The sequence below is a fragment of the Homo sapiens genome, chromosome 14, assembly GCF_000001405.40.
Source record: "Homo sapiens chromosome 14, GRCh38.p14 Primary Assembly".
NCBI classification, from domain to species: Eukaryota; Metazoa; Chordata; class Mammalia; order Primates; family Hominidae; genus Homo; species Homo sapiens.
Window position 1 is genome coordinate 75,161,753 of NC_000014.9, and position 18,789 is coordinate 75,180,541.

The following is an 18,789-nucleotide window of genomic DNA, read 5'->3' on the forward strand; positions in this document are numbered from 1 at the left end:
CCACCCTTACTCTAAAGTTGCAGGAAGGACGGGACTACTTTTGGCCACTTGCTAGCACAACTGCATTTAAAAAAAAAAAAAAAGGTACCAGAAAAAGATGCCTTAAAAATAACACTATCCACCCAGACTTAATTCCCTTCTCCAATAAAAGCAACCAGGGCTCCTTGGAGAAATGATCCTAAGACTGAGGAAGGAAATGTACAAAATGAGCCTGGAGCATCTTATAGTGCCAGAAAGTAAGAAGTGCTCAAAAACAAAAACCAGAGGTCCGGGGCGGGGTGGGGGGCAGATCATTTAAGGTCAGGAGTTCAAGACCAGCCTGGCCAACATGGAGAAACCCCATCTCTACTAAAAATACAAAAATTAGCCAGGCATGGTGGCACCCACCTGTAATTGCAGCTACTCAGGAGGCTGAGGCATGACAATCACTTGAACCCAGGAGGCAGAGGTTGCAGTGAGAGGAGATTATGCCACTGCACTCCAGCCTGGGTGACAAAGCAAGGCTCTGTCTCAAAACAAACAAACAAACAAAAATGAAAATCCAAAAAATACAAGAATGCGGGTATGTCAAAGGGACACAGGAACCTAAAGGGCTCCCAATAGCTAAAGCTGAAACAATCAGGGCAACAATTATAGTACTGGTTTATAATCCAAAGTACATAGTAAACATCCATGAATCTACACTTACATATAAATGATTGATTAAATAAATAAATAAGGAAGAGAGACAAATCTTCCGTGAAGATTCTCAAATAATTTATGTAGGCACCCGTAAGGAGTGTGAAGCATAACTCCCCACTCCTTAAGTGTGGGCTACATAAAGTGACTTCCTTCTAAAGAACACAGAATAGAAAGGGGGAAAAAAGAGTTACTCTGTAGTGGACTGACCAAAACATCATTAAGGGGGAAAAAAGGAAAGAAAAGAATATTGTATAGTGAAGAAACCTGACAAACACTAATTCATCCAAATGATCAAGGGCAGTATCAACGTGACAAATCATGTTGATATGATGTGATGAAAATGACACTTTATAAGTGAATCATGGTTTTGACAAGAAAAAAAAAATGACATTTTATCTCTGTGGTCTTCCTCCCCAAAACCCATAACCTCACCTTATCATGAGAAAAACATCTGACAAATGCCCAATAGAGGGCAACCTACAAAATACCTGGCCAGGGTCCTCAAAACTCACAAGGTCCACCAGGCCCACTGGCTCACACCTTGTAACGCCAGCACTTTAGGAGGCCGAAAGGGGAGGGTCACTTGAGTCCAGGAATTTGAGACCAGCCTGGGCAACACAGGAAGACCCTGCCTCTAAAAATAATTAAAAAAAAAAAAATTAGTTTGGTGTGGTGGTGCATACCTGTGGTCCCAGCTACTCAGAAGCCTCAGGGAGGAGGATTGCCTGATCCCAGGAGGTCAAGGCTGCAGTGAGTTGTGATCATGTCATTGCACTTCAGCCTGGGTGACAGAGCAAGACCCTGTCTCAAAACAAACACACAAACAAAAAACTCACGGGCCAGGCGCGGTGGCTCACGCCTGTAATCCCAGCACTTTGGGAGGTTGAGGCAGGCAGATCACTTGAGGTCAGGAGTTCGAGACCATCTTGCCTAACACGGTGAAACCCTGTCTCTACTAAATATACAAAAACTAGCCGGGCATGGTGGCACTCGCCTGTAGTCCCAGCTACTCAGGCAGCTGAGGCAGCAGAATCGCTTGAACCCGGGAGGCAGAGGTTGCAGTGAGCCGAGATCTCGCCACTGCACTCCAGCCTGGGCGACAGAGTGAGACTCCGTATCAAAAAAAAAAAAAAAAAAAAAAAAAGAACGGAAACAGGAATAGCTAGCCTTTTCTCTCTCTGAGAGACCATACAACATAGTACTTTTAAGATGGAAGGTTCTAGAGTCAGACTTTCTGGTCCGTGCTCAAATCACAGGTGTGCCGTTTACCAGCTGTAAACACTTGGGCATGTTCCTTAACTTGTCTACCTCATTTGTAAAATAAGGACAACAGTTGTACATACATCATAAGGTTATTGTGAGGATTTTTTTTTTTTAGATAGGGTCTCACTGTGTTGCCCAGGCTGGTTATGTACTCCTGGGCTCAAGAGATCCTCTTGTGCCAGCCTCCTGAGTAGCTGGGATTACAAGGACACACCACCACGCCCAGCTACTGTGAAGATTAAATGTTATACAGGTAAACTGCCTGGAACAGTGTTTGTCACATAGCAGGCATTCAATAGGTGTTATATTATTGTTATAACTGTTGGTGATAACTCAGAACTCCATAAATATTTAGGTCATTAACCACATTTTCTTCCTTTTTTTTTTGAGACAGAGTTTTGCTCTGTCGTAAAGGCTGGAGTGAAGTGGCACTATCTCAGCTCCCTGCAACCTCTGACTCCCGGGTTCAAGCAATTCTTGTGCCTCAGCCTCCAGAGTAGCTGGGACTACAGATGCATGCCACCATGCCCGGCTTTTTTTTTTTTTTTTTTTTGAGACAGAGATTTGCACTGTTGCTCAGGCTGGAGTGCAGTGGCACGATCAGAGCTCACTGCAACCTCCACCTCCGGGTTCAAGCAATTCTCCTGCCTCAGCCTCCCCAAGTAGCTGGGACTACAGGTGTGCGCCACCAGGCCCGGCTAATTTTTTATTTTTTAAGTAGAGATAGGGTTTCACCATGTTGGCCAGGCTGGTCTCGAACTCCTGACCATGTGATCCACCCACCTCGGCCTCCCAAAGTGCTGGGATTACAGGCGTGAGCCACTGCACCTGGCCTAATATATATATATATATATATATATATATATATATATATATATATATTTTTTTTTTTTTTTTTGTATTTTTAGAAGAGGCGGGGTTTTGTCATGTTGGCCAGGCTAGTCTCAAACTCCTGAGCTCAGGCAATCCGCCTGCCTCAGCCTCCCAAAGTGCTAGGATTACAGACGTAAGCCACCATCTCTGGCCCATTAACCATATGTTCTAACCTAAGAGTACTAATGGATGGCAAACTAGATAAATTGTGCTATGTTCACTAAATCCAGGGATGATTAGGGCCCAAATGGCTATTGCATGGAAACAGAGAGAAAGGGGTAGTCAGGTACACTCTCAAGGAAGCAGCAGCAAGATTTAGAAAATGAAAGGATACAAAATGCCTAAGAAAGCAGATGTTTGATCCTTTTAGCTGATAAAAAGAGAGACAGTAAGGAATCCAAGATGATGCCAGCTTTTCCTGTATGTGGTTTTTAACTTAATAAGGAATAAACTACATGAAGAATCCAACATTAGATATGGCGGAAAGAGAGAGAGGATTGAGGTTGCATATATAATTATCTCTACTCTTCATAAGAATTCACAAGTGAATACTGAGCCAAAGGGTCTATTCCCCTAAGATATAAAAAAGCAGAAAGAACACCAACTCATTAAAGATGCTATGGCTTTAGATAGAAAAATATATCAGAAACATGTTCTTTTTCTTTCTTTCTTTTTTTTTAGACAGTCTCACGCTGTTGCCCAGGCTGGAGTGCAGTGGCATGATCTTGGCTCACCACAACCTCCACCTCCCAGGTTCAAGCGATTCTCCTGCCTCAGCCTCCCGAGTAGCTGGGAATACAGGCATACGCCACCATGCACGGCTAATTTTTGTATTTTTAGTAGAGACAGGGTTTCACCATGTTGGCCAGGCTGGTCTCGAACTCCTGACCTTGTGATCCTCCCACCTCAGCCTCCCAAAGTGTTGGGATTACAGGCGTGAGCCACCATGCCCAGCCTCAGAAACACTTTCAAAAGGGACCACTGTATCTCAAAAACGAAAAACATAAACTCTGACGGCTTAGGTGCTACATTTAATGGGCATAAAATGAATTTAAGCTGATCTTTTAAACAAAAGCATGTACAAAGTCTATCAAATATATTCCTGAAATAAAAGGATCACATCTAGATTTTGCCCAGAACAAAGTCAAACTTAGCCCACAGGCAGCATTTGGCAACACTAAATTCTTTCAAATTTCTAGTACAGTTCACTGATAGTATAACATAGTACATAAGTATTGCTTAAGCTAAAATATGATCAAGGAGGCTAGGAGGCTTTTTCTAGAAATGCTGAAAACCAGAAATAGCAAATTTCCAGGCACTGGCATGATAATGGATAGATGCTCTCTTCCTGCTTCTATCAGCATTTGCTACATTAACTTAACATAGGCAATACGTCATGCTTGACTTGGGGGAGGAGTGGGGGGGTAAGAAAAGGGGAGAAAGAGAGGGAGGAAAGGAGGGGAACGAGAACGAAAGACCCGTTGCTGCCCTAACAATACTACTGCGGGGGTGAAGCCAGATCAAATGTTTTTTTTCATACTGTTCCAAAGTTATTTACGGTAAAAACCTCCAGCGTGACCCTTTCATTATGAGCACAAACAAAGTCTTGTTCTTTCTTAACAACTATTCCCTTGATTTCCCACATTTTATGTTGAACAATGAGGTTGGGAGCACAGGATAAAGCAGATGACATCAACCTCCCTCAAGTCGGAGACTTGTTTGGGAGCCCAAGTTCAGGTCTGTGGCCAGCTGGCTGATTTCACAGAGGGCTCTACTGTCCAGGCTGCCAGGCTCTATATGCATATGGGGGCAATGGCTCAGGATCAAACTACCAGTCAGCAATTCACACAAGAAACAGCATAGAAGTCACTGCACCCCTACTGGGTTACCTTTATATATTTGTTCCACTTTCCTAGAAACCAGACTCAGTCTTCAGAAGTCAGCATAAAGATATGGTGTAGCAATTTCAAACTGGAAGCAGCCCCCTTCTCTAGATCAGTTCAAAACAGGGAAGGCTGTAGACAACTGTTTACTGAATAAGAGAGATTTAAATGAAGCAATGTATCCTTTAACTTTTATGGAGAAGGACGCAAAGGTCAAGTTATAATTAAAAGCTAGGAACTTTGTATATAATACAAAAAGAAATTCGATTTATATTATTAAATGTCAATGTACCAATTAGCCTTCTGTACTGAACCATCTATTTATTGACCTGTTTCTAACCCAGTGAACAACAGTCACGTTAAATTCACGCTGAAAGGGCCATATTTCTCCCTACAGAAAAAGTCTGGCATAAGTAAGGGTTCATGGGATCGTTATTGATAAAAAGGATGGTTCATTTCGATGACTGAGCAACATGCATCCTATTCCTTTTTTTTTTTTTTTTTTTTGAGACGGAGTCTCACTCTGTCGCCCAGGCTGGAGTGCAGTGGCGTGATCTCGGCTCACTGCAACCTCCACTTCCCAGGTTCAAGCGATTCTCCTGCCTCAGCCTCCTGAGTAGCTGGGACCACAGGTGCACACTACCACGCCTGGCTAATTTTTGTATTTTCAGTAGAGACAGGGTTTCACCATGTTGGCCAGGATGGTCTCATTCTCCTGACCTCGTGATCCACCCACCTCAGCTTCCCAAAGTGCTGGGATTACAGGCGTGAGCCACCACGCCCAGCCGAAGCATCCTATTCTTTCTCCTTGTCAGCACAGAACAGACCTCAGTACAGATACCAGTAATAAAAAAGCTGAAATACAGTAATTCCAAACAAAATAATCTGAAAACTATAGCATATATACCATCTTTTCCTTCCTTCCTCCCTCCCCTGCCTCTTCGCCCCTCTGCCTCTCTCTCTTTTCTCCTCCTCGCCCCCACCCCCACCACTGTCCTTTTCTCCTTCCTCCTCCCTCTCCTCTCTGTCCTCATGCCTGGCCTATAGTATCTTCTCATACAGCTTTGGGTGAGGGAAAAAAGAAGTTATAAGCCAATAGTTTCCCAACTGCCAAGTTACTTCTTCATAATTTTTAGGCTTAAGTTGTGGTAGGCCTGTGATTCAAGGCTGAACTCTTTAAGGGATCTGTTTGGCTTTCTTATCTATAAGCTAGTTGGGAAGGACAGAAATCATAACTTGGTATAAGATCCAAATTTTCAGCCAGGTGCAGGGGTTCATGCCTGTAATCTCAGTGCTGTGGGAGGATCACTTGAGGCCAGGAGTTCGAGGTTGCAGCGAGCTATGATCATGCCACTGCACTCCAGCCAGAGCAAAATAATAATAAAAATATTACCCAAATTTCTGAGTCCCTACAACAGGCTTTTATTATGGACCTGAAGTAATGGAGGAAACTTCTATATTCACTGTAAATGACGAGTTGATACTTCCTGCTTCAATTATGTGCAGCAAAGTCTTTATACCTGACACTAGTTAGCCTGATTTAGCCTCACTTTATGAAATGAGTAGGGAAGTATGGAATAGACTCAGTTTGGAGATCTTAACACAAAATGCATCTCAATATAGGTCTGAAATAGAAATCTTTGCAGGAGAGGACCACCCATCATTTCAATCCATTTATCTCTCTCTGCTTCAGAAAGGCCTCCCCTGACCACTCAAACACCCTTTAACCCATCAGTCACCCCCTACTCCCTAGTGCCTGAACTTTCATTATAGTGCTTATCACTACCTGAAATTCTATTATTTTAACTTGTTTTTTGTCTTTGTTCCCCACAAGAGCTTGAGGACCTTGTCCCGTTTATCCCCATATTCTCAGCCAGGTCTGACACATACTAAATATTACATAAATATTTGTTGAATGAATGAAAGAATCACAAACTACTCATAATTCCTCTCATTAAAATACTCCATATCTACTTATTTCAATGACATATAGCATGAGGGGCTCTGAGAAGCAATTCAATTTTCATTCAATACAGAGGAAAGAAAAGAGTACTAACATCTATGGAGCACCATAATGGGCCCTGCACAATAAAAACCTCACCCATCTCAATCAGTCCTTCTAACAAGTTTATGAGCTCTACGATTCCCATATTACAGAAACAGGACCAGAGAAGAAGGGTTAAGTAATCCCTGCAAGACCCACATAACCTTTAAATGGTGGAGCTGCTGGGATCTGAACCAAATCTATCTTACTTCAGATCTAGTCTCTACCATACCACAAGGCTTCTCAAGAAGACTAAGATGTTTAACTCAGTTATACAACAATGTGTACGTTAAACTAAAGACACAAAGATGAGTAAGACATTAAAGAGTTCACAAAGTAAACACTACACTACATGAAAAGTGCCATGTAAAACAGGATGTAATGGTACTACAGTATCTTTTCATACAACTTTTGGTGAGGGGGAAAAAAGAAGTTATAAGCCAATGGGACACATAGGGGACACAGAAAGTCAAACATTGATCCAGGTAAAGAGAACATTATATTCAAAGAACTGTAAGGTGTTCAGTATAGCTAGAGTCAGAGTGGGAGGAAGCAAATAAAGAGAATGGAAGAGGGAAAGATCAGAGATGAGGCAAAGACAGTGCTTGCTCGTCTGTTCACTAATTCCTTAGGATAAGGTCCTACTATGTGCCAGGCCTTATTTTAGACAAGCATTGCAATGATGAATGAAACCTAGTCTCTGTTCAAGCAGCTTATAGTTTATCCCAGGAGATGGGCAAATACACAACTGCAACACAGAGTGGTATATGATAACATAGGTGCATTCACTGGATACTGAGATGTTCCTAGACAGAAAGAAGGTGAATCAGTCAGATTAACCAAGGCACTATATTCACAGAGACCCTTATAAGAAAGACTGCCTCAGGCTAGGCACAGTGGCTCACGCCTGTAATCCCAGCACTTTGGGAGACGGGCGGATCACCTGAGGTCAGGAGTTTGAGACCAACCTGGACAATATTGTGAAACCCCGTCTCTACTAAAAATACAAAAATTAGCCGGGAGTAGTGGTACGCGCCTATAATCCCAGCTACTTGGGAGGCTGAGGCAGGAGAATTGCTTGAACCTGGGAGGCAGAGGTTGCAGTGAGCCGAGATCATGCCATTGCACTCCAGCCTGGGCAAAAAGAGCGCAACTCCATCTCAAAAAAAAGACTGCCTCATTCAGCACAACCACCAAATGCTAAGCTCAGCTGGCCAGGTTCTGCACCAGTCTCCAGTTCTCCTCCTACCTCAAATCAAACCACAGCTGCCTAAAGCAGGGGTGGAAATATGACCAAAGACAAGACAATCCATTGGCTGAACTGAGACCTAGAATGTGGCCTACCATATGAAAAGGAGCTCTGGCACTTAGGAGTTGCACTCCAGAAGCTAAAATGATGCATAGGGAGAATCCTTGAAGCAGTCGTCAAAATATAAGAAAAAGTGGAACGGCCGGGCGTGGTGGCTCATGCCTGTAATCCCAGCACTTTGGGAGGCAGAGGCGGGCGGATCATGAGGTCAGGGGATTGAGACCATCCTGGCTAACACGGTGAAATACAAAAAATACAAAAAATACAAAAAATTAGCCGGGCGTGGTGGCGGGCGCCTGTAGTCCCAGCTACTTGGGAGGCTGAGGCAGGAGAATGGTGTGAACCCCGGGGAGCAGAGCCTGCAGTGAGCCAAGATTGCACCACCGCACTGCAGCCTGGGTGAAAGCGAGACTCCATCTCAACAAAAAAAGAAAAAGTGGAACTAAGTGAACGGACACCATGAAAAAGACTGAAAGCCGCTATGGGCTGCATCTGCTCACAAATGTGTTCTGTGGCTTGCATGGTATATTACATTTTCAAAAATGACACCTAGCTTGTGGTCTCCAAATACCAATCCCCACAAAAAGGAACTAGAATTCCTTAGAGAAACAGTTGTTCTGAGGTCAGAGGATAGACATATACAAGATAAGCCTAGAACACTTTGTTGTGCCAGAAAACAAGGATGCTATCAAAACCTAACAGGATTATGTTGAAAAAATACAGGAGCCAATATGAAGGAACCAAAGGGACAAATTGGGCATAAAGAATGGAAACAACTGCCTAAAACACAATGATTCTAAAAGTTGAAGCCAACAATTAAAAAGAGTTCAGTAAAATACTTTAAAAAAAAACCCAAAAACTCTTGGACAACACTGAAAATGACAAGGGCAACAATTCCTTACTCTGACAATTATCAATTAGAAGAAATAAATTCTGCATTTATCCTACCAATGTGAATGATAAATTTTAGGATAATCAGATGATATTAATTCCTTAAGAATAATTTCAGCTAATAAATATGGAAGGAGTAACGGAATTAGAAAGTCATCATTTCACAACCTTAATGACATAATAAATGCACACAGTAGTCATCAGTGGATTCCTAAGTGAAAGGTTAATGGGAAACTTTACAATGAAGGCTTTGGGCTATTACCACCCGGGTAGAGAAAAAAATGCCTCCCACACACAAAGATGTCCACATCCTAATCCCTAGAACCCACGAATGTGTTATCTTACATGGCAAAAGGGATTGTGCAGATGTGATTAAATCAGATTAAGGGTCTTGAGGTGGAGAAGATTATCACAAGGGTCCTTATAAGGGAACGAGGGAGGCAGGTGAGTAAGAGAATGAGATGAGATGATGATAGCCGGGGAAGGAGGGAGGAAGAGAGGAAGAAGGGGTGGTGAGGAACAAAGCAGAGGATGGAAAAGGGAAGGAAAGGGAGAGAGTTAAAGATACTATGCTACTGGCTTTAATTTTTTTTTTTTTTTTGAGACAAAGTCTCGCTCTGTCACCCAGGCTGGAGTGCCGTGGCACGATCTCGGCTCACTACAATCTCCGCCTCCCAGGTTCAAGCGATTCCCCTGCCTCAGTCTCCTGAGTAGCTGGGACTACAGGTGTGCACCACCATGCCCAGCTAATTTTTGTATGTTTGGTGAAGACGGGGTTTCACCATGTTGGCCAGGCTGGTCTCAAACTCCTAACCTTCAGTGATTTGCCCGCCTTGGCCTCCCAAAGCGTTGGGATTACAGACGAGAGCCACCGCGCCCAGCCTGGCTTTAAAGATGGAGGAAGGAGATATGAGCCAAAGAATACAAGTGGCTTCTAGAAGCTAGAAAGGGCAAGAAAACTGATCCCCACCCCACTCCCAAAAAGTCTCCAGAAGAAACATGGCTCTGCCAAAACCCTGATTTTAGGACTTCTGACCTTCAGAACGATTAAGACAAATCCCTGATGTTTTAGGCCATAAATCTGTGGTAATTTGTTACAGCAGCAATAGGACACTAAGACACACCTTAATCCACTTATCAATCTTAGCAGCAGCAATAAGGGGCACAAAAAGTACTGTGTGTTCCTGCAGTGACACCCTCGACAGAAAGATTAAACCTGAATCTGGTTACATCTTTTTTTTTTTTTTTACACTTTAAGTTCTGGAGGGGTACATGTGCAGAACGTGCAGGTTTGTTACATAGGTATACGTGTGCCATGGTGGTTTGCTGAACCTCTGGTTACATCTTTACAGCTGATTCCTTTTACAAAAAATATAGTGGAAGAACTGGTTAAAAGACACCTCTAGGAAGCAAAAGACAACTCCGAAATGCTGTACATTCTTTTAAGAGCAATTGACTCCAACAATTCAATTGCAAGGATAAAAAAGGAGGTGAGAGGAAGAGGAGACTGCTCTAGATTAGACACTTGAGAGAGACAACAAATTAACTTTCAAAAGATATTTTTGAGACAAGTGGGATCATACTATATGGACTGGGTATCAAGGAATCATTGTTCTTTTTTTTTTTTTGGAGACAGAGTCTCACTCTGTAGCCCAGGTAGGAGTGCAGTGGCACAATCATACTTCACTGCAACTTCCGCCTCCCAGGTTCAAGAGATTCTCCTGCCTCAGCCTAGAGCAGCTGGGATTACAGATGTGTGCCACCACGCCCAGCTAATTTTTTTTTAAATTTTTAGTAGAGACGGGGTTTCACCGTGTTGGTCAGGCTGGTCTCGAACTCCTGACCTCGTGATTCGCCCACCTCGGCCTCCCAAAGTGCTGGGATTACAGGCATGAGCCACCGCGCCTGGCCATCATTGTTCATTTTGTGAGGCGTGATTAGCCACGTAACATTGTGGTTTATATTTTTAAAGAGATGCATGCTGAAGTAGGCAGGAATGAAATACATGACATCTGGGATTTACTTTAATACAATTTAGCATGAAATGATATGGCAGAAGCAGTTAAGATGACACGTGTGGAAAGATCCTGATAATTGGTGAATATGAGTAATGGGTAGAAAGGTGAACTCACTATACTATTCCCTATAACACTGAAAACAAATCAATGCCCGAACCAATCTGAATTGGCTGGTGAAATTTTTTTTTTTTAATTTTTAGGGGGCCAAACCATTTTATTGAGGAAAATGGAGTGGCAAAGCAGTGGTGAGGACAATGAGATCCATGGCCCTCGGGTGGGCCGGGAGCTCCCAAGCTCTGCAGTGCTGAAACCTGGCTGATGAAATTTAAAAGTCTGGAGCTTTCACATCAAAATCTGGTGTTCCTATTTCATTTGAAAAATCAGATGTGGGCTAGGTGCAATGGCTCATGCCTGTAATCCGAGCACTTTGGGAGGCCGAGATGGGCGGATCACTTGAGCCCAGGAGTTCGAGACCAGCCTGGGTAACATGGCGAAACTCCATTTCTACAAACAAATATGAAAACTAGCCGGATATGGTGGCATGTGCCTGTAATCCCAGCTACTCAGGAGCCTGAAGTAGGAGGATCACCTGGGCCCTGAGGAGGTCAAGGCTGCAGTGAGCTGTGATGGTGCCACTGGAGGGAGGGAGGGAGAGAGGGAGGAAGAAAGGAAGGAAGGGAAGGAAGAGGGGAGGGGAGGGGAAGGGAAAAATCAGATGTGGCAAAAAGGCCCACATGCTTGCATGGCAAGTCTCATCAAGAACTAAGTATTGGTCACCCCTAATTAACAGTTTCTACTACGTCCAATTATTCTCCCATTTATCATCACTGCTTTTTTTTTTAAAATACCTGGTCCAATTTATTCAATGATATTACCTATTTGGCATTTGGGTTTAGGACCCTTGTGGTTCCATTAAGCTGGTTAGTAGCAAAAGAACAGAGCAGACACAGGAGAGCAACTGAGTGATAGTAAAGTGCTAGGGTGTGTGCACAAAGTCCTGCTGGTTTTTGTTTTGCTTTGTTTTGTTTTGTTTTGAGACCGAGTCTTGTTCTGTTGCCCAGGCTGGAGTGCAGTGGCACGGTGTCAGCTCACTGCAGCCACTGCCTCCCAGGTTCTAGTGATTCTCCTGCCTCAGCCTCCCGGGTAGCTGGGATTACAGGCACACGCCACCATGCCCAGCTAATTTTTGTATTTTTAGTAGAGACTGGATTTTAGCATGTTGCTGAGGCTGGTCTTGAACTCCTGACCTCAGGTGATCCACCCGCCTCGGCCTCCCAAAGAGTTAGGGTTACAGGCATGACCCACCAAGCCCGGCCTAAAGTCCTGCTGTTGAGGTGCCTTCAGCAGCCCTAAATTCAATGTAATTCCCATAAGGCCATGCTAAACTACAGTTCCTGTTATTTATAGAGTACTTACTAGAAGCAAGGTAACATGCTTGGCATTCTAGAAAAGATGAACCTGAAAATAGTTCCTACCCTGAGGATACTAACAGTCTAGTAAGTAGGTCAAGGCATAAACAAAAACAGTTCAGAAAATAAGTGAGTTCAGGGTACTGTCCAGGGTGGCTCCATGTAGAATGCAAAGTGGGAAGTGACCACACGTATAGCTCAGAAACAGATCATGAAGAGCACAACAAAGCATGTTGAGAAATTTAAACTATCAATAAGCAATAGTGAGCCACTGAAGGGCTTTAAAATATAAGAACAAATCAGACAGCAACACGAGATGAGAGCAAGGTCTCTTTCATTGCTGAAATTCCCTGAGTCCATGAACATCCTCTGAAGAGTTGGAAGCATGATCTCCCACCCCGGAAACACTATATCTAAGCTTCTAAAATCATGCCATCACTATTTTCCTGGGTAGAGAGTTTGATACCCAAACAGAATAATAAAATGATGGGTCACAGATTAATTGCCCTGAAAATAGTTTGTCTCTCCCAAATAAAGTAGAAATAAATTACATGTATTACCACACTACTGGGTTCCACTACTTTAACATAAGTTATGGTCTTATTATATCTGAAACCCTTTTAAAAAGTAAAAACGAGGCCAGGCGCGGTGGCTTACGGCTGTAATCCCAGCACTTTGGGAGGCCGAGGCGGGCAGATCACGAGGTCAAGAGATCAAGACCATCCTGGCCAACATGGTGAACCGTCATCTCTACTAAAATACAAAAATTAGCTGGGTGTGGTGGCTGGCGCCTGTAGTCCTAGCTACTCGGAAGGCTGAGGCAGGAGAATTGCTTGAAACCGGGAGGCAGAGGCTGCAGTGAGCCGAGATCGCGCCACAGCACTCCAGCCTGGACGACAGAGCAAGACTCCGTCTCAAAAAAAAAAAAAAAAAAAAAAAAAGTAAAAATGTTTCTATTTAGTATAACAAAAGCCCCATTGTGTTACAAAGAAAAAAAAAGACACTTTGCTTATTGTGAATGAATAAAATTACCTAAAATGCAACCAAATACTGACAGATATCAAATTATATTAATGTCTCAAAGACCAGGCCAGGCTACTCTTAGCTACAAAACAGAATCAAACTGGTATTATGGCAGTAGTTGTCACCATCCAAGAGCATAGTTGGTATTTACATAAAAGAGCCAAGTCCAGATTCTGGCATACCAAAGAAAAAGGACTAGAGACTGAGACCATTTTGTAACCAATAATCGACTTTAATCAACTACAGAAATTACAAATTTAAAACAAGGAAGGAATAAGGTTGCAGCGCTTTTCCCTCAACATACTTAACTACCAAACTAAGTAAGAATCTATTCCATCGCAAGGACAGAAAACCAAACACCGCATGTTCTCACTCATAGGTGGGAATTGAACAATGAGAACACTTGGACACAGGGTGGGGAACATCACACACCGGGGCCTGTCGTGGGGTGGGGGGAGGTGGGAGGGATAGCATTAGGAGACATACCTAATGTAAATGACGAGTTAATGGGTGCAGCACACCAACACGGCACATGTATACATATGTAACAAACCTGAAAGTTGTGCGCATGTACCCTAGAACTTAAAGTATAATAATAATTTTGAAAAAAAAAAAAGAATCTATTCCATCTGTGACACTTACTAGTTTATCCTACCTCTGAGTCTCAGTTTCCTCATTTGTAAAATGGGGCTAACAGTACCTACCTACTTCATAGGGTAGTGCATGAACCAAATGGTAATATATGCAAAGTAGCACAGTAACTGACACAGCAGATGCTCAATAAATAACATTTTATTAATCACGGTTAGCTCTGTCTCCTTTACTTTCCTGCAGGTATCGCGGTATCTTATGATGCCAATCCGTATAAATATTCAACACCCCAACATTTATTTGGAGAACCAAATTACGGTTCAATGTATCTGAGACCAAAACTGGTATAGGACGTTGACAACCGCCCCAGCTCAGGTGTCACCACATCCGCCAAAGCCTCGCAGCCCTTCTTGGGGTTCCCAGGCGTTGGTGACCCGCCCCGCCCCGCGACAGGCAACCAGCGGGGTGAGGGGGCGGGCTCCACCGCACGTCCTTTGCGCTCCCGGGAGGCCAGAACAACTCCCAGGCCTCCGCCGGCCCGACTCCCCCGAACCCGAGCCTCCCCTCGCCTAAGCCTGCCGTCTTCCCTCCCGGCCCCACGTCGCCCAATGCCGCACCTTGAGGTGGCTGCGCAGGCCGCCAGCGCCCCCAGACTGGTCGGAGATCTCGTACGCGCCAGTCACTAGCAGGTCCTTGTGAATCTCCTCACGGAGGCACTTGCGAGAGTTAATGGGCAGATGGAAGGAGATGGCAAGGACCAATCTGGGGCCGAGCAGGAACAAAAGCAGCAACGCTAACGGAAAAGGGCCGCGCCGGGCTGGTGGGCCAGACAAACCAGACATGGTGCTGGAGACTCGTTCACCACCGAAGGCCTCAACCGCGCCGGAACCGGGGGGACCCACGTGACTCACCTCTGACCTTCTGATGCCGTCCGCGCCATTTTGGAGACTGGCATGTAGAGAAAGACTCTATAGCGAATCTTTTGAAAAGGGAAGAAAGGATAGGTACCATGTCAAAACCGCAAGTTTAAGCAGTTAAAGAAGCTTTAATAGAATACTATTGCAACAGTTTTATTTTTGTTGAAGTTAGTGACTACTGAGTCGGCCATGGCAAGTATGGGCAGCCCTGGAAGTAATTCTCCTTTAATTTCCGAAAGATGTACCCACGAGTTTAAAGGCGAGTGACACCATAGCAACCAAGCCCCAATAGGAAACAGCCACAAGGCCCTTCGCTGGGCCCGCCCACCGGCCGCCTAGGCGCGAGGGCGGGGAATGAGGCTGTGTCTCCGGGGATGGGGCGGTTTGCAGGCACTCCCAAGCGCCTTTGACACCTTGATGACACCTGGGGCACTGAGACACTAGAGAGGAAAATTTCGAGGAAAGATTTCAACTTGGCTATTAGACAGTGTGGACCTTAGAGAAGAAGTTTTAGGGGTCACCTGATGAATGTGTGCCGGGCAGACATCCGGTTCATGTCCCATAGCAGGGTATTTGGGCTGGAGTAATTGTCTGGCTAACTGAATGTACATGGTATTATTATTATTATTATTATTATTATTATTATTATTATTTTAGCAAACATTGAATGTGTTCTAAGCTATATTCAAAATAAATTTGAATTTGGTATTTAAATTGAATAAAACAACATGTTTTGGTCCAGTCTCAGATGAACATAATTAAGGGGTTAGCAGATAAGCGTTGTCAGGGAAAGTGCGTATGTGTGTGTTTTAAGTTCACAAACACTTTAGGGATCAAATTAACTATTAACATTTGCAAATAGACAAGCAAATTGACACGGTAATAATTCATGCATTCATTCAATGGAGTACCTACTGTGTGCCAGACATTATGCTATGCATGTATGTCAACACGTTTATTGATTTAACAAACTATTACTGGGATACTAGCAAATATTCAGAGCTGAAGAATATATTAAAATAAACGGCCAGGCGCGGTGGCTCACACCTGTAATCCCAGCACTTTGGGAGGCTGAGGCGGGTGGATCACGAGGTCAGGAGTTCAAGACCAGCCTGGCCAAGATGGTGAAACCCCGTCTCTACTAAAAATACAAAAAAATTAGCTGGGCTTGGTGGCGGGCGCCTGTAATCCCAGCCACTCAGGAGGCTGAGGCAGAGAATTGCTTGAACCCGGGAGATGGAGGTTGCAGTGAGCTGAGATGGCGCCACTGCACTCCAGCCTGGGCGACGGAGTGAGACTTGTCTCAGAAAAGAAAGAAGGAAAGAAAGAAAATGGAATTGCTCCTTGGCCTTTTGGCTAACATCAAGTGTAGAAAATAAACGTGGAAGACACAATAGCCCATGTTGGGAATCATTACCTACTTTGATTAACGTTTATTGAGCATCTTCAGAAATATCCAGAAGATGGACTGTCTGCCCTTAGTAATGTACATGATTGGTGTTTTTTTTTTTTAAACTTAGTCCATTTAGTTATTTTCCTAGAAATGAAATCCCACAGACAAAACAAGAACAAACAAAGGAGCTGTAAAGCATTTAAAATTTTGACAAATGCCATACAATAATTATTTTATGAGGTGTCCACTTAGGAGCATTTAGTTGGATTGTTGTATCACTGATCTAAGATAAGATTGGTAGTCCACACAGTACATCCTGATAATTTGCATTGGCCTTTTCCCTGCCAATGCAGGGAATCAGTATAAGCAGTTATCTAATTCATTGTCTACTTGCATTCCTGAGGCTCTGCTGACCAATAGCAAGAGATCTCAACCCATGAAAAAACTGTGTATGTGTTTCCTTTAAATTTCCATCTTACATTTACATAATAGATAATGCAATTTAAAATATTTTCACATATCATAATGATCTCCTCTGACATTTTCAAAAACCCTGTGAAATAGTCTGGACAATCTGTTCATTTTACAGATGAGGAAACCGAGGTTCTGAGAGGCCAAATAATTATACTGTTAAAGAAAAAATACTTCATGACATTTGTTAAAGAACTGTAAAGCAGGCCAGAGGCGGTGGCTCACACCTGTACTCCTAGCACTTTGGGAGGCCAAGGCGGGCGGATAACTTGAGGTCAGGGGTTCGAAACCAGCCTGGCCAACATAATGAAATCTTATCTCTACTAAAAATACAAAAAATTAGCCGGGCATGGTGGTGGATACCTGTAATCCCAGCTACTTGGGAGGCTGAGACAGGAGAATTGCTTGAACCCAGGAGGTGGAGGTTGCAGTGAGCCAAGATCACACCATTGCCCTCCAGCCTGGACGACAGAGCGAGACTCCTTCTCAAAAAAAAAAAAAAAATTGTAAAGCAAATCTTTATTCAAGGGGGACTGCCAAGATAGGTAATACAAGGGCCTATGACAATGGGGTTTTGTAGTAGGAAGGAGAGATCGGGCTCAATTCCAAATACAAGGAAAAGTAGGGATTTACAGCCAAAAATCAGGGTCAGTGGATGGAAAATTACTAAAAGGAAATATTGGGAGTAAGGGGAGATTCTGGCTAAACTAACTTAGCAGGATTCTTCCTAAAATTGGACAATGCAGAGTCATGGAAGTCCAAAAGTCAGAGCCTATTGAGAAGACAGATCAGAACAGCGTGGGTAAAGTTTGGTCAAGGAGAGAATCTTTGTCAGTACCCCAAACCTCATAAGCTTAAAAGTGACAAAAGCAGTCTAGGGGCCTGAGCTATCCTCAGGAAGATGCTATTATTTCTTATTTTAAAGATGAAGAAACTCAGATGCACAGCAGTTACTTTTCTGTGTCACAGCTCTCAAGTCCTTTCTTTTCTTTTTTGAGATGGAGTCTGGCTCTGTTGCCCAGGCTAGAGCGCAGTGGTGCGATCTCAGCTCACCACAACCTGCCCCTCCTGGGTTCAAGTGATTCTCCTGCCTCAGCCTCCTGAGTAGCTGGGATTATAGGCGCGCACCACCATGCCCGGCTAATTTTTGTATTTTTAGAAGAGACAGGGTTTCACCATGTTGGTCAGGCTGGTCTTGAACATCCTGACCTTGCGATCTGCCCACCTCAGCCCCCAAAGTGCTGGGATTACAGGTGTGAGCCACTGCGCCCGGCTTCCAGTCCTTTCTTGTCCTGTAGTCTTACTTATCCCCATCCTCCAACACCTCCTGTCTTTCTTCCCTCCTTTATAATTTTCCCCTTAGCACTCATTACTATCAAATAAAGCATACATTTTACTTACTTATTGTGTTTATTAGTCTGTCTCCCTAACTAGAATGTCTGTTTTGTGAGGGCAGGGATTTTTATCTATTTTTTCACTGTTTTATCTTCTGAACCTAAAACAGTGCCTAGCACTTAGGTACAATAAATAATGGTACAATGAATTTAAGACTGGTACCTTAGAAAGCGCAACCACAAATTTCTCCCATTATTCTTTAGCTGTTTTCACATAAATTTGTTTAATCCATAATGTATCTAAAGCATAGGTACAGTTTCAGTGTCACCAACATGTCTATCTTTTCTTAAAAAAAATGGAAAATACACTCTTGTTTCTATATAAGGACACAGAAAAACAAACAAACAAAAACAATTCTCCTCTGTATGCTGTGGAATGGAACCAAGACTTTTAAGCCTGCACCTGTGTTAAAGAAGTTACCGGCCGGGCATCGTGGCTCAAGCCTATAATCCCAGCACTTTGGGAGGCTGAGGCAGGCGGATCATGAGGTCAGGAGGAGATGGAGACCATCCTGGCCAACATGGTGAAACCCCGTCTCTACTAAAATACAAAAAATTAGCCCAGCGTGGTGACACGTGCCTGTAGTCCTAGCTACTTGGGAGGCTGAGGCAGGGGAATTGCTTGAACC

At 43.6% G+C, this 18,789-nt stretch overlaps 1 protein-coding gene across 1 annotated transcript in view, besides 2 other annotated features; it reads right to left on the minus strand.

Moving 5' to 3' along the window:
• TMED10 (transmembrane p24 trafficking protein 10) overlaps nt 1–14,860 on the minus strand; it is a 45,144-nt gene extending 30,284 nt beyond the window's left edge. The window contains exon 1 of the mRNA NM_006827.6: nt 14,603–14,860. Coding sequence (NP_006818.3) covers nt 14,603–14,827 — 225 coding nt within the window. The 5' untranslated portion in view covers nt 14,828–14,860. The remainder of the gene's footprint in view (nt 1–14,602) is intronic.
• Nucleotides 14,684–15,256: an enhancer, noted in NCBI's record as "H3K27ac hESC enhancer chr14:75643139-75643711 (GRCh37/hg19 assembly coordinates)". NCBI's record gives its function as "activates a minimal SCP1, AML or CMV promoter by ChIP-STARR-seq in naive H9 embryonic stem cells {active_cell/tissue: H9 hESC(naive)}" and the evidence as "EXISTENCE:reporter gene assay evidence [ECO:0000049][PMID:30033119]".
• Nucleotides 14,771–15,010: an enhancer, noted in NCBI's record as "active region_8738". NCBI's record gives its function as "activates an Ori minimal core promoter by ATAC-STARR-seq in GM12878 lymphoblastoid cells {active_cell/tissue: GM12878}" and the evidence as "EXISTENCE:reporter gene assay evidence [ECO:0000049][PMID:35858748]".